Consider the following 13,061-nt stretch of genomic DNA (forward strand, 5'->3'; position numbering starts at 1 on the left):
AGTCTACTTTCATTACTTGGTTCAACTAATATGCATTACCCTCTGGAGCAGGCAATAGGAATATAGCAAAACAGGTAACAATTCTTGCTTTCATGGAGCCTAGTATCTAGTGGAAGAAACGTGATTAAACAAACTTAAGTAGATGTGATGTTGCCATGTGGTATCAAATGCAGGAAAAGAGTAGTAGTAGCGTGTGTCAGCATATTGGCAGGGAGTGGGCAACTTTTTTCGATGGTGGGGTCAAGGAAGGCCCCTTCAAGGAAGTGACACTTAAAATGAAAAACCAGTAGGACTTAGGGAGAGTCAGGAAAAGAGCACAAAAACCAGCTTTCATTGGGGATTTAGAGGAGCTGAAAGAAAACCAGGGACCTGGAGCAGGGAAATGTAGGGGAAAAACAGCAAGAGATAGGAGAGAGGCCATGTGCGGTCTTATCACCAGCCCAAGGATCTGGGATAGTCTCCTCAGTGCAGGGGGAAGTCACTGAAGGTTTCAGAAAGGGAAGTGACATCATCTAGTTTGTGGTTTTAAAAACTTATTCTGACTACTCTGTGAAGCATTGAAATAGGGAGCTAAATTGTGGCTGTGGCTATAATCCCTCCAGAGGTGGTGGTATTATGGACTAAGGGTGTAGCAGTGAAGAATGATGTGGGGAAGAGGATGGAATACAGCCATTTTGGTGGTGGAAGGAACAAGATGAGTGACGGATGAGAGGGAGGCAGGAGGGAGAGAGCACCTACAGTGATCTTGTGCTTCACATGGATGGTCCAGATACCAGTTACAGAGACAACGACTAGAAGAGGAGCAGACTGGGGCAGGGGAATGGCTGGAAATCAGACAGCCTTGTGGGAATGTTTATTTGAGATGCAAGTGTTAAGTCAGCAGATGTAGGTGTTAAGTAAGCATTTATATTGACAATTCTAGAGCTTAAAAGGCGGGCCTGGACTTGGAATGACTTTTACCAAAGACTTCCAAGGAGACTTTTTTTATTAGAACTTTTCTCCCAGATCCTGGCACTGCTCTGAAGGCAGATAGTCAAACCCTACCAACTGCAGCCACCCCTGGCTAAAGATTTCACTGTTTTATTCTTTGCCCTAATGTTAACTTTTTTTGTTGTTGTTGAGACAGGGTCTTCTTTTGTTGCCCAGGCTGGTATGCAGTGGTGTGATCATAGCTCACTAGAGCCTTGAACTCCTGGGCTCAAGAGATCTTCCCACCTCAGTCTCCCAAGTAGTTAGGACTACAGATGTGCACTACCATGCCTGGCTAATTTTTCCATGTTTTATAGAGATGGGGGTCTCACTATGTTGTCCAGTCTGGTCTCAAACTCCTAGGCTCAAGCAATCCACCTACCTCAACTTCCCAAAGTGCTGGGATTACAGGCATGAGTCACCATACCCGGCCCCTACTGCTAACTTTCACTATTCTTTCATCCTGCCCTTGACATCAGAACAACATCTGGACCCAAGTGAGACTTTTCCATTGGCTTAAATCAGTCAGTACCTGTAAAGATGTTCAGAATATTTAAACTTACATGAGTCTGCCACATGAGATTTCTGCAGGGGGAGCTTTGCAGCCGTAAAGAGGATGCTAAACATAGTGGCTTATAATGAAATAATATGTTTATCTTGGCTGGTTTTATAGCAGATGTGATTGGGATATTTACTGGTTGTTTCTTAGAACTAGATGAAAGCAATAGTTCAGACCAAATGAATTACAGCAACAAAACATGCTAACAACATAAAAAAAGATATAGATTATGGAAAATTATAAATTGTGATCATGCAGAGAGGTCTCACTCTAGCCTGAACACTGGTGACCCACAACTAAATGGGGCCAAGATTAATCATGCCTCAATCTTACACATAAGCCAAGGGATCTTTTCTAAAGATCATGCCTATTAAAGCAGCAAAGACTTTTCTGCAAGATATATCATAATGAGCTCCAGACATTTAATGAGAGACAAGTGCTACGGTTGAAAGTGGTGACCTTCAGCATCGAATCTGAAAATGAAGTAGGCCTGCTTGCTCTGCAAAATGAGGCCCCAATCCAGTCTGCTTAGGTGAAGAGAAGTCTCACATTTGTAGATGGTCTGTTGCAGGCAAACCTTAAATCTTCTGGGAAAGGGGGAAAGGCTTTTGTTTGTTTTTATTTTTCTAATTAGGTAAGGATTGTACATGCAAGGAGCAAGCAGCTGACTCCAGGCTGCAGGCCCAGTAGCTTCCAAAGGCAGTAAAGCCAGCAGGCGTGGTGGCTCACGCCTGAAATCCCAGCACTTTGGGAGGCTGAGGCGGGTGGATCACTTGAGGTCAGGCGTTCGAGACCAGCCTGGCCAATATAGTGAAATCCTGTCTCTACTAAAAATACAAAAATTTGCTGGGTGTGGTGGCACATGCCTTGTAGTCCCAGCTACTCGGGAGGCTGAGGCAAGAGAATCGCTTGAACCCAGAAAGCAGAGGTTGTAGTGAGCTGAGATTGTGCCATTGCACTCCAGCCTGGGCATCACAGCAAGACTCCATCTCAAAAAAATAAAGAACAACAACAAAAAAAGGCAGTAAAGTGGAAAACGGCATCAAGGAAGAAACCAGCCTAAGGAGTTAGATAGAGTGTCCCAAAAGCCTCTGGAAGAATATGCAGCACTCCAAGGCCAGGAGACCTCAGCTTCCATCTCTGTTGTAATGGCTGCCTCAAATGAGGACAATTGCCTGGCCAAAAAATAGCAGCATGAAAGAGAAGTGTCATCCCCCCTTATTCCTAGTTTTTCATCCCCTAGAAGCCCCTCATCCAAGGACTTGTGTAAAGTTGTGTCCGCCCCTACTTTGATCTGCAGTAGGAAATGCTGGGATGCATGTCCTGACCCTCCTTCCCCCACTGCAGCCCTCACGAATGGTAGGTGGCTGTCCTGCAGACAGGATGCTGCCTCACGTCCTGAACCTCGCCACAAATTCCTGCCCCACTGGCTGCTTCTGGCTTCCTCTTGCAATCCCAGGAGACAAAGGACTGTGAGGGAGGAAGGGAGCCGAGCATGGTCTCCCAGGCAGAAACCCTTTGGAAGATGCCGGAGCCTCAGCCTGCTTGCCCGGGTCTGCCTTTCTGGGTGGGAGGAGGGGCGGCCTCCCTACTCTTCCCAAATGTCCCTGTCTTAAACCCATGCAGCACAAAACAAGCCAGTTCATTGTGTTCTTGGATATAAATATTGATTCTAGGTGATGTTAACATTCTGTTCATAAAAGAATGTAACATATTTCTCCCACACCATATTAGACTGATGTGTTGTTTGGCCAAGGGAAGTACCGATTGCTGGCTTCTGCGAGAAAATGTGGACATTTAAATGCATGCAGCTTTCAGAAGTCTAGGAAGCAGCCTCAGAACAGCAACCAGGCCCCTGGGTTGGCTTCAGCTCTGCCCTCCTCCATCCAGTTTCTCCTTTTCCATCTCCATTGTTTGCACATACCTTTGGTATTTCTGATCACTTGTAATTTAAGAAAATGCTTTCTTGGAATTATATCTTCTTTCTCAAGGACCTGTTAATGTGGGACATTTGCTTTCTTCAGGAGGGCCCGGAAGGTCAGGACCAAACATTTTTAGTTTTCTTCCCCAGGGGAAAAGATCTGGGAGGTCCTGTCCTCCCGTTTACTTTTTCCCCCTCTCTGCATGTCGGAGGGAAGGGCAAAGTCTTCAGACCAGAGGTGGTCCCGCCAAGCGCTCCACCGAGGCCTGACCAAGCCCAAGACTCAGATGTGTTGGCCGCCTTGGCAAGGCAAATTCCCCACATTCCACAAGTGCTCTTGAGGGAGAAATAGAAGTAATGAGAAAGTGGAATTCTTGATGTGTATGCGTGCTCACTCGGGTGCCAATTCATCCGACACAGACAGATCCCTGGCCTTATTTCGCAAGAGAGTGATAGAGCCCATTTCCAGATGTGCGGGAGGACGGCCCGGGACCCAGTGCTGGCAGGAGAGCTGGCGCCCTCTGCTGTCCCGGCTAGGAAACACTGCAATGGTGGGAAAGAACCTGGGGTTCCTGAAAGCCGGCAGCTCTGTTACAATCCATAGCCGACCCTCGCAAGTGTGGAAGGGGCCTGCAGCTCCTTGCTGTTCAAATGATGAACCTGCAAGGGGCTGGATTCCCTCCTTCTAGCTGGCTCTCTTTGTGTTTCGTGGCTCTAAATGAGCCAGAAATCATGAGGATTTACAATAAAACCCCAGCCTCCCACAGCATCTGCTGGTCCCGTTCCCGAGAAGGTGAGGAAGAGTGGCACTGTCTCTGGCCTGTGAACCTGGCCAGCAGGCCTAGGCAAGGCGAGACAATGAGGGCAGCTTGCCCAAGAGGAGGCCTCCTGCTGATTAGCAGCCCTCGGGCCATACCCTTGCCTGAGAATGCAGCTTCTGGAGGCCTGGCTGGCTCCAAAGCTTCCAGCCGAGTGGAAGCTGCAACTGCTCCCACTCAGGCATACTGGCATCTCTAAGGGGCCTCAGAGCTGGCACAGCCAAGAGACTGGCTCAGCTTACAAGCTTAGACAGAGCTGCCACCCCCCTCTGCCCTGCTGCCTGCCAAGACAGCAGCACAGCAGTGGGTCTGGGGCCAGGGCCAGGCTTGCTGCTGCAGGAGAAAGAAAGAGATATTAATAGAGAGAGAGAGAGAGAGAGAGAGAGAGTGTGTGTGTGTGTGTGTGTGTGTGTGTTGGTGAAACGTAGGGTGGAGATATTAGGGGGATGCAAGGGGGATGGCTGGTGAACTATACTTGGACAGCCTTTCAGTTCTGCAAAAAGGCACAAAACAATCAGTTTTTGTTTTCTGGAAGATTTTTAATTTTTTTTTTTTTTTTTGTAAACCAATCTCTTCCCTGCTGGGAGAAGAAAAACCCAACCCGCCAAGCAACCCCCTAAAAACAATGCCCTTCTCTCTCTGGGACCAATTTTCAGGCTGCACAGCAGTCCTGACAAGGTCAACAAGCTGGAGCTGTAAGTGGAAGATCTTTATCTAGGTGGGAAATAGGAAAATCATTTGACTGATAAAAGGAAATACAATAAATAGCATCTAAATTCCTGGCTGCATCCCCCAGGCCCCTCCTCTGCTGGAGAAAGTGCGTGGGCCAGGGATACATGTGCTGCTCCAGCATGTTTAAAAATAGCATGCAGCACACAGCCCTTTCTTACCTTCCAGAAAGACTTCATTACCGGATCCTCAGCCCTGAGCCTGCAGAGCTGCTGCCGGCACTTTCTTCTCCCTGCGCTGGATTTTTCTCTTTGGAAGCATTAAGGGAGTGCATGTGATACATTTTACTCACGGGCCAGCTCTTGCTCAGCTAGTTTCAATCTAGGCACGTCTAGAGCTCACGTTGAAAGTCCATTGTATTTAATGGGGTGTTAACTCTGTTTATTCTCTGGGGCCTGTGCAGTAATTTTACACTCTGCAAAACTAGCAACTTGAACCAGAAATGATATTCCTCTTTCCCCATGCCCACCCCAGTGGGCTGCAGTCCCCAGGCACCTCTGGCCCTGCTTCCCAGGGTTCCTGTAGCTCAGGTAGCCGAAGAAGTTCTGCATGCCGTGGGAGATGGGAACTCTGGGGTTCACATCCGGTTCTGCCGCTTGTTAGCACTGGTGCAGCCTGAAGCAGGTCTCCTCAGCTCCTGGAGACATTTTTCACATCTGTGAAATGAAGATTTTAATCTGCCCCATGTATCTCAAAAGGCATACAACAATCTCATAGTGGAAAAACATTTTCCTGGGTTCTACAAAGACACCGTCCTATTATTCCCAACTGGGCCACTTCAGCATCACCTCGGAAGCCACTTAACCCCTTCGGATCTCCATCTCTCCACTAAAACCTTGGGGATTTGAATAGGACTATAAAATCCACTAATCAGTCTGAATCTTCACCATGCTGTTGTGATTTTTTTATAAGTCCATTATTCCTTCCACCTTTATTGGCTGGCATTCTACTCTTGGGAAGACTTTCTTGTCTCCCCACTTACTTATTCTCAGGGCCTGGCCCTAGAAGGTGCTGAAGACTTCATATAGGACTGGATGACCCCTTCTAGCTCTCAATCTCCAAGTCTCCAGGAAAATAAATGAAGCACATACTATTCTAATACATTCTACCATTCTGTGGGAACTGTGCCTTCCGTTATTCCCACCTGATCTAAAATCCCGACACTTAGGATGCTCAAACATCATCTGGACCTTGGCATTCCTCCTCCAGTGCCAGGCCTTCCCTCCTGCATAAAACAGCTCAGAGCTGAGTCGCCCTTGCTGGAGTTCCTGATCTCTCTTTCCAGCTCCCTCAGGGCTTCTCCATCTGGCATCCTGCAGAATCCTCAACTCAATTTGTCCAAAATTAAATATGTATTCTTCCCAAACCCACATTTTCTCTAATACCTGTCAGCTCAGTTAAAAACTCCACTGCTCTCTGAAGCTGGAGAGCCTGGAATCCTACACGCCTCTCCCCAGCTCTTTACCCTGCTCCCAGCCCTCCACATCTCATTCACAGAATGCTCCCCCCCACACACACACACAGAGCCCTGGAATCCCCCTAACAGCTGGCCCTTCTCAACACCTCCAGGACAGGCCTTTGTGGGGGTCTTCAGCTTTCAGCTCTCCTGGGGCTCTCCTAATAGCCCATTGTTTTGTTTTTCCTCTTTTTTGCTATTAACTAGTTCTATAATAGCCTTCTAACTAGACTTAGTATAGCCAGTCTCATTTGTCCCCCTCTTAACTCCCCTCCACCAGTTCGTCCTGCACACCACTACAAAAGCAACTTTTCTAAAATGCAAGATTAGTCTTGCAAATATCTTTTTCTTTTCTTTTTTTTTTTTTGAGACAGGGTCTCACTCTGTCGCCCAGCCTGGAGTGCAGCAGCACGATCCTGGCTCACTGCAACCTCCGCCTCCCAGGTTCAAGGGATTCTCCTGCCTCAGCCCTCCCTAATAGCTGGGACTACAGGGGCACACCACCATGCCCAGCTAATTTTTGTATTTTTAGTAGAGACAGGGTTTCACCATGTTGGCCACGCTGGTCTTGAACTCCTGACCTCAAATGATCCACCCGCCTCGGCCTCCCAAAGTGCTGGGATTACAAGCGTGAGCCACTGCGCCCAGCCATATCACTCTATTTTAAATGAGATCATAGTTGTGGTAGTTGCTTTTGTTTTTAAGCCTTACAAAAATTCTATACGATAAGAATTATTAGCATGAAACTAAGATGAAACTAAGACTTAGCTAGGTTAAAGGACCTAAAGCCACATAGCTATTACACCTTGCAGAACCAGAATTTGAACTCAGGTCTGCTTTGTACTGCAAAACCCATGTTCGAAAGTATTTAAGGTACCTGGCACAGAGCAGGTGGACCAATGTTATATTCTTTATATTCCCCCTTTTCTATAAACTTCAGTCTCTTCAGCAGGGTGCAAGGGCCTATCCCATAGTGGGTGGCGTATGTCTCCAAATGCATCTCCTGTTACTGTGTGGCCCATTATCACCACTACCCATTAGGCAACATCAGACCACTCGCTGTTCCCCAAACCCTCCCTGTTCTTTTTTTTTTTTTTGAGACAAAGTCCAGCTCTTGTGCTCTTGTCTCCCAGGCTGGAGTGCAATGACACGATCTTGGCTCACTGCAACCTCCGCCTCCCGAGTTCAAGCGGTTCTCCTGCCTCAGCCTCCCAAGTAGCTGGGATTACAGGTGCCTACCACCATGACCGGCTAATTTTTATATTTTTAGTAGAGACAGGGTTTCACCATGTTGGCCAGGCTGGTCTTGAACTCCTGACCTCAGGGGATCCACCTGCCTTGGCCTCCCAAAGTGCTGGGATTACAGGCATGAGCCACCGCGCCTGGCCCTCCCTGTTCTTTTTTAAACTTTCTTTTTGAAATCCTCTTTCCTACTGCTTGGCAAGGCTTTTCTTACCTTGTCCTTCCTGCTCTGCAAGCCCAGATCAGATAGCACCCATTCTGTGATGCTTTTCCTGATCCCCAAACTCAGAATTCACGGCTCCAGCATCCCTCTTGCCAGCACCACTTGTTACGTATGCCTATTCTGATACTGATCATATTGGTGTGTGGCTATTCAGTCCTGTCTCTTCTCATCTTTGTATCTCCAAACCTGGCACTGTGCCTGGGACAAAGTAAGCACTCAGTAGTAAGTCTGTTGAGTTTAGTTCAGTCCTGCATCCTTCCCTATGACTAATGCTTCATTTCATCTGTCTTGCAAAGGTTAGAATGTCTCTGAAGACTTGTTTGCATCACCTCCACTCTCTCTGATTTCCACACCCACCACCCCATTGAAGTTGCTCCTGGCAACTTCTTGAGAGATCTCCTCATTACCAGAACACTCTCTTGTCCTCAGCCTCCAAAAGTTGCAGCAGCACTGGGCATGATTTCCTCCCTTCTTTTAAGTGACTCCTCTCCCTCGGCTTCTGCCATCACAGTCTCCTGCTTTCTTTTGCCTCTCAGGCTCTCTTGGGACTCCATCTGAGCCCTGGAAGTAGAGAACCTCAGAGCTCCGACCTGGGTTGCATTCTCTTCCCTCTACATTCCTTCCTGAAGAGACTTGTCTATTCCCATCATTTAAAGCAGGACCACTATCTTCAGCTCTCAGCTCTAGATTCAGATATGTGACAGCTATTTGACATCTCACTTAGATCATCCTTAGGTACTTTGGGCTTGAAAGCCTAACAATTGACTCCCAGGTGTACCCCCAGACCCTTCCTCCTTCAGTCTTTCTCTGTTCACTAAAAGGCAACATAACGAAGGATCCCCTTCTTGGGATGTTGGGAGCCACTCTCTAGGAGGGAAGGTGCCTTAGAAGAGGGGGCAAATCTGGGGATATCTGAATATCATGCATTCCTACCTCTGACTTAACCTTGGAGAAACACCAGATGCCTTAACCATGTATTCAATGCCTGGCATGATCTGGCCCCAGCATCCCTTTCCAGGCCCAGCTTTCATCTCGCCCCTAGATCAGAAATGGGTGAAGTATGGTCCATGAGCCAAATCTGGCCCATATGTTTCTCTACCGCCTGTAGGCAAAGAATAATTTTTTATATTTTTAAGTAGTTGAAAAAAATCAAAAGAAGAATATTTGGTGACACATGAAAATTACATAAAATTCAAATATCAGTGTCTATAAATAAAGTTGTATGAAATACGGCCATGCTGGTTTATTTACTTATTATCTGTCTCTGCTTTCTAGCTACAAAGGCAGAGCTGAGTCGTTGGAACAGACTTATAACCTACAAAGCCTAAAATATTTACTATCTGGCCTTATACTGAAAAAATTTGCCAAGCCCTGCTCTAAGCCAGTCCCTTGTTCCCTAAACACACCTTGCAAACTTCTAGTTTGGCACACACTGATCTCTGCTCCTCTCTATCTAAATCCTACCTCTCTTTACCCCTTGCCAATCCAGCATCTTCTAGAATCTTCCTTGTCTCCTCCATTCAGTGGTTTCTCGTCCTTCTCCAAATCCCTCTGCTAACACGTAAAGTTGGTGGACTTACCACCCAAGGCCTTAGATGACTATTAGTTTCTGGTGTATGTCACATGTCCTGTCCAGATTGGGAGCCACATGACGACAGAGATGGTATCTGTTCATCTTGTATAGCAGGGCCCAGCACAATGCTTAGCAATATCATAAGTGCTTAGAAAGTAGGTGTTAAAGGCCAGGTTCAATGGCTTATACCTGTAATCCCAGCACTTCGAGAGGCCAAGGCAAGAGGATCACTTGAGGCCAGGAGTTTGAGACCAGCATGGGCAACATAGTGAGACCCTGTCTCTACAAAAAATAAAAAAAAATTAGCCAGGCGTGATGGCATGCCCCTGGAGTCCCAGCTACTCAGGAAGCTGAGGTGGGAGGATCATTTGAGCCCAGGAGTTCAAGGTTGCAGTGAGCTAGGATCCCACTGGACTCCAGGCTAGGCAACAGAGTGAAGCCCTGTCGCAAAAACAAAAGCAAAACGAACAACAAAAAAATCAGTGTTGATGTACTCCTTTCTGAGTGGTTTCATCTTTCCTGACAATCCCCTATTTAACTCTGAAAAACAGCCATCTACTTATTTGCTTAGGTATTCTTTTTTAAGGAAGATGCAACTTCTATCCAGCCTCCCTCCAGTTCATCCCCATGAAGTGCTGAAGACAAAGCATAGATAGATAAGTTGCAAGAACAACTTTACACAACTGCTAGAGCTTATGGGGAGAGGGGGCAGTGAGATGGAACTGGGCTGGACTCCAGTCCCAGCTCAGTCACTGATAGCAAAATCTGGTATCAAAACCATCAGTTTTGCTATTTCACCTGTCCTTCCTCAGTTTCATCATCTGTAAAATTGTTGACTGAAAGTTGAATGTCTGCTCAATCAAAGGAGTCCCTCAAATCCTTTCCAGCTCCAAAACCTGAGGATCCTGTTTTTCCTGTAAGCCCTCAGGGTGGTGAAAATTCCCAAGCTTACCTCCTGAAAGAGGCAAGCTTGTCAACCCTAGCTGACCCCACTTGAGCCCTCTCCTCAGGAGATGCTCTCTGATGCTTATTCCTTATGTAAGCAGTGCAGCCACCCTAGGGGAGAGGCATTATATTCCCACTTGGCAGACCCAGAAAATGAGACCCAAAGAGGAGAAGTGATTTGCCCGAGCAGGAGAGCATGTCACACGATTCTAGGGGTGCTGCTCACACCCTGGTCAGTGGTGCTCCCTCGGATCGTAATACACCAGCGATTCTCCAACTTGGGTCTTTAAATCACCAGAGGATCTCGTTAAAACAGATTTTGATTCAGTCACTCTGGGGTAGGGCCCAAGAGTCTGTATTTCTAACAAGCTCGCCTGTGATATGTATGCTCCCGGTCTCTGGATCCCACTTTGAATAGCGAGGTAGTGCACAACCTGTACAGCTGCACATGGCAGCTGTACACACAGCTCAAAAGCAGCACAGCGGGGACTTAAATTTAGGTCTTTGGACTCAAAGTCCAGTGTCCTCTATGCTGAGCCAGAATTTTGCAAAAAGCACCTCTACTCTGGGCATATGAGTGCCTGGGGATCTGGAGGAGATTTGATAGGGAAAAAAATATCTTTAGTAAAAGAGAAACAAAGTCCTGCCTTTGCTGACCAAGAGTCCTCAGCCGAGGCCTTCTGGGGCAGGCATAGATAGATGTCTGCATAAGTGGGGAGCCCTGTGGGAACAAGAGGAAATCAAGGGACCCCACACCTAGCCTAGTGGCAACCTGGGGTCCAGAGGAAGGAGGAAAGGCAGCTGGGCTCTTTGTCTGCCGCTCCCAGAGTGGCTAATGAGCAGGGCGTTCTTCCTTGCAGGTGCTGAGAAGTGGGATGAGGCTTGTAAGGAGACAGAGTACCAAGCTGCAGTCTGGGAGGCCTTAATTCCTAGAGTTCTCCCTGCCACAGCTGAGCTGGCTCAGGGCCCATTTCTGTTTGCTTGGAACAGTCTGACATTTTGTAAGGAACCCTTTGCGCGGGGTGCGCCTTCTGGCCTCTCAAGGGTAATTGCCCAAGAGAAGCAGGTGCTCCCCGCTGGGGCTGGAGTTTCCGTTGGGGAAATCAACCTGACATAATGTACTGGGGAAAGCTTTGTACACTATAGAGAGCTATGCAAATACCAGCAGTCCTGGGGTGGAAGGAGGGCCTGCAGCAAGGGGCAGCACTGGAGGACCGCTGGAGGGGCAGCGCTGAAAGATGGGCTTCTGTTGGAGATGCCTGTGAGGCCTTGGGGGAAGTTGGCAGCAGAGAACTGGGCGTTACAAATGGGGGGATGCAAAGGGCAGTGAGCTTGCAGGTGGGAAACTGGGCTTCAGTGCTGGCCCCGCCACTCACCAACTTCAGATAAGTTTCTACAGTACTCTGAGGCTCCATCATCTCCTGTGTCTATGAGGCAATGAAGCAATAGGGGCCATGACATGTCTGCTGTATTATTGTGGGATTTTAGCGTCCTTGGGGGTGCCTGGCACAGTGTATGTTAGTTGACTCACTGAGGTTCGGGGTCATATGTGGCAGACCCCTGAGCACTGAACAGGGGATGTGAACACCTGTTTGGACACAGAATCCTGGACTGGCCTTGATCAAACGCCTTCCTCTCTTGAGGCCTTGGTTTCCCCCATGTGAATAGGAGGAAGAAGTGGAGTGACTGCCCACAAGTGCCCTTCCAGCCCTGGACCTGTGCTCCAGATGGCTGCACGTCCTGGCCAGCAATGCATGAGTTGGGACGTCCACTCTGAGGCTTTGCCTCATCGACAAGGCTGAAGCAGGCAGAGATTTCCAGGTTCGAGGTAAAGGGCCTCAGCCTCAGCTTGGGCAGCTTCCCAGAGCTGATGCAGCTCAGACACATCTTTCCTAGGACATCTTCTTCAGTCAGGGGACTCAGGATGGCCCAGTCACCAGATGCCCAGCTGGACAGAGCAAGACCCTGGCAAGGTCGTGTAGGGACAGCATGCTGAGCCCGATGGCCTTGATCATAGGGCTCTGCCTCACCCTCTCTGCTCCCACACCCTACGCCTCCCATGCAGGAGAACCAGCAGGACACACTGGCTTCTGCATCCTCACCAGCCAGCACCTGCTTCTCCGCATGTTCAAGAAATACAGTGCAACCTGGGGCCTGGAGGAAGGAGGAAAGGCAGCTGAGCCCTTGATCTGCTGCTCCTATCACAGTTCACCAGCTAGAGAAATGTGATGCATGCAAGGATATAAACCAGGCTGATGTGGGCTGCAGGGCTACAGGGCTGCAGGGCCGGAGGGCATGTCCATGCAGAACACCTGTGATTCACCGGTGTGCAAGCTCAGGGGCTCCCGGGAGTAGATGGCAGAGCCAGATCTGCAGCCCTGAGCTGTGTCTTCCTTCTGCCATACCACTCTCTTCTTGAACAGACCAGGTAGCTGCTATTTCAAAATGCAACCATTCCATCTTCTAGTCTAACTCTCCCAGGACAGCCCTTCTGGAATTGGGAGCCGGTGCCCAGAGTCTGCCAGCTGCTGGGATAAACTACCTGAGTTTCTTCAACCACTTTTCCCATGTAGGATTTCTACCCCCCCACCTAGGGTTGGTAGAGTTAGCAAAAAAAAAAAAAAAA

General features: G+C 48.3%; 1 protein-coding gene across 2 annotated transcripts in view, besides 3 other annotated features; it reads left to right on the top strand.

The window, feature by feature from the left end:
* HMG20A (high mobility group 20A) overlaps positions 1-13,061 on the top strand; it is a 99,163-nt gene that overhangs the window by 72,141 nt on the left and 13,961 nt on the right. The window lies entirely within an intron of this gene.
* Positions 2,582-3,382: an enhancer, noted in NCBI's record as "H3K27ac-H3K4me1 hESC enhancer chr15:77787952-77788752 (GRCh37/hg19 assembly coordinates)". NCBI's record gives its function as "activates a minimal SCP1, AML or CMV promoter by ChIP-STARR-seq in primed H9 embryonic stem cells {active_cell/tissue: H9 hESC(primed)}" and the evidence as "EXISTENCE:reporter gene assay evidence [ECO:0000049][PMID:30033119]".
* Positions 3,819-4,113: an enhancer, noted in NCBI's record as "tiled region #2172; HepG2 Activating DNase matched - State 4:PromP, and K562 Activating DNase unmatched - State 8:EnhW". NCBI's record gives its function as "activates a minimal TATA promoter and a strong SV40 promoter by Sharpr-MPRA in HepG2 and K562 cells {active_cell/tissue: HepG2 | K562}" and the evidence as "EXISTENCE:reporter gene assay evidence [ECO:0000049][PMID:27701403]".
* Positions 4,185-4,984: an enhancer, noted in NCBI's record as "H3K27ac-H3K4me1 hESC enhancer chr15:77789555-77790354 (GRCh37/hg19 assembly coordinates)". NCBI's record gives its function as "activates a minimal SCP1, AML or CMV promoter by ChIP-STARR-seq in naive H9 embryonic stem cells {active_cell/tissue: H9 hESC(naive)}" and the evidence as "EXISTENCE:reporter gene assay evidence [ECO:0000049][PMID:30033119]".

Source organism: Homo sapiens, chromosome 15 (assembly GCF_000001405.40).
Source record: "Homo sapiens chromosome 15, GRCh38.p14 Primary Assembly".
Lineage (NCBI taxonomy): Eukaryota > Metazoa > Chordata > Mammalia > Primates > Hominidae > Homo > Homo sapiens.